At 31.1% G+C, this 2164-nt stretch overlaps 1 non-coding gene across 1 annotated transcript; it reads left to right on the top strand.

Moving 5' to 3' along the window:
* The first annotated feature begins 1488 nt into the window (after positions 1-1488).
* On the top strand, positions 1489-1588 carry LOC124903107 (small nucleolar RNA U13). The gene has a single exon (XR_007063644.1). It is a non-coding gene; the product is annotated as a small nucleolar RNA U13 (small nucleolar RNA).
* Positions 1589-2164: the final 576 nt, after the last annotated feature.

The raw sequence follows: 2164 nt of genomic DNA, 5'->3' as shown, positions 1-2164 counted from the left end.
TTAGGTTTGATCTCTTTAATAAAGAAGAAAAGGGAATAGCTTTAAATGTTTCACCTGTTTAGTGATCTATTTACAAATTTTACATTTTAAGATATTAAAGCATAATAATAGATAACTCTAAGTGGATATCATGAACTTTATGATGTCCTATTTTCTTTTTTGATAAAAGAGTAGTACCTATTTTCAACCCCACTGAGATGCTATGAGAACATTTTTTCAGCTTCTGTGCTATCCTGCTGTTCTATTCACTCTGCTGCAGTAACCAACAGACCTCCCTCATTTAAGCCATTTTTCAAACACACAAAGAAGCTAGATGTCAGCTTATTTTACCTTCATATCTAAAGTTTACCAAAATAGAAAATCATGATCAATACCTGTGTCAGGAAACAAATGTAAATTTTTGAACTGCATACATAGGGTTATCCTCTTCGAAACTCTAGAAACCATGAATCTAAATCCCTCTTCTGCAAAGCCCTATATTTAAAGGCTTTGTATTGACACCTAGTAGATGATATTAATGTATAAAAACAAGATTTGGTGTTTCTAACTGCACAGAAAATAAGAAGCCAACTCTCCCGAGAACAATGAGTTAGACAAATACCCATTATGTCATTCAACCAGGGCAAGAAATGCAGTAAAGGAGAAATGTAAATCAGTTGCTCAGACAGCCATAGTCACACCATGACTGTTATGCTTAGCCTATAATAGGGATGAAAAATGAGATCACCATTCCATTTGTCTTCAAAAATTTCTTCTTCTCCCTTGAACATATAATATTCTGATGACTTTACTACACAAAAAAAATGCATGCTTTTTTATCCTCACTCAGTAATGTGCTCAAAGAGGGTGAGCAATTAGAGACAGAGAGGCAGCAATAAGTAGTAATAAGGGGAGTGAGCTTTTATTCATTCAAGATGTTAAAGAAAAGATTGACTAGTTTTTAAGACTATGTTGACTTGGAAAATTTTTTTCAATGATGCAGGAATCTATTTAAAGTAGTGGAGTACATCTGAGAATTTTCTATTGTAACTGTACCAAGAAGTGATTGCACAAAACAAGTTCCACTTTTGTATATAAGAAGAGATATCTTTTACTGAGATATCTTGAGAAGACGCTTTATGTTCTGCATGTCTAAGCAGTGCAGGTATTAGGTGGCGTGATTCATGAGTATAACATTATCTTGAATAAGCCTTCACTGTTCTGTATTCCACTGATGCCTTCCCTAGAAGAGACAATAGAATGCCCAATAAAGCTTGAATCAATAGAGTAAAGCAAATTAGCACTGGCAAAATGCCTGCTTGTCATTGTTTCAGAAGTAGATTTAAAGCTTTAGGATATTTACTGTGTCTACATTTTGATAAACTCCATTCACAATCATATATTTTACTAGTTTGGGCCAGCTCCAATGTTATCTTTAAGCTTCAAGAATAGAATTTGAATTGCACTATTCGACATAAGAAATAAGTGTATAGGAACATCAGTATCTAGATCCTTTTGTGGTTCATAAGCATGATGATTGGGTTTCCACATTCTTGTGAGATGGGCCTCCCTCCAACCTTGTTATGATGTCAGCACATTACCCTTGACGTGTGAAAAGAAAAAAGAATGTAAGTATCTACTCTGAGTATAAATAAAGTATATATTGTTATACATCACTGGCATAATATAGGATATAAGAATAGAGTCTATAACTTTACTCAGGAACAAAATTTTATATATTATATATAAAAGGTATACAAATTATCCTATGAATTATTTGGTTTAAAAATTTCTAAATGTAAAAGTGAATGATTTAATAATATCAAATACAGATAAGAGATAATAATTTAAAAGTTCTTAGAGAGCAGGTTCAAAACTAAAGTTATATAATTATAAAAAGAAGCTAGAGAATGAGTTCATAGTCTTTAGTTCTTTGATTGGATTTAAAACATATAAGTCAAATACTTAGCTTTCAATCTTATTTTAAAGACAAAATATGGGGAAGTATTTAAACTTACAAAATTTCCTGTACTGGCTATGTAATATTTTTATCTCTTCACATTTTCAAGTATTCATTGAATATTTATTGAATCCTTATTATATGCTAGAACCTGATAGAAGTTTTAAAAATGCTAATTAAATAACAATTTCCATTATCTCTCTATATATATTTTTATATATTATA

Source organism: Homo sapiens, chromosome 12 (genome assembly GCF_000001405.40).
Source record: "Homo sapiens chromosome 12, GRCh38.p14 Primary Assembly".
In the NCBI taxonomy this organism is placed as follows: domain Eukaryota; kingdom Metazoa; phylum Chordata; class Mammalia; order Primates; family Hominidae; genus Homo; species Homo sapiens.
The sequence above is the reverse complement of the archived record's forward strand: the minus strand, read 5'-3'. Positions and strand labels throughout refer to the sequence as shown.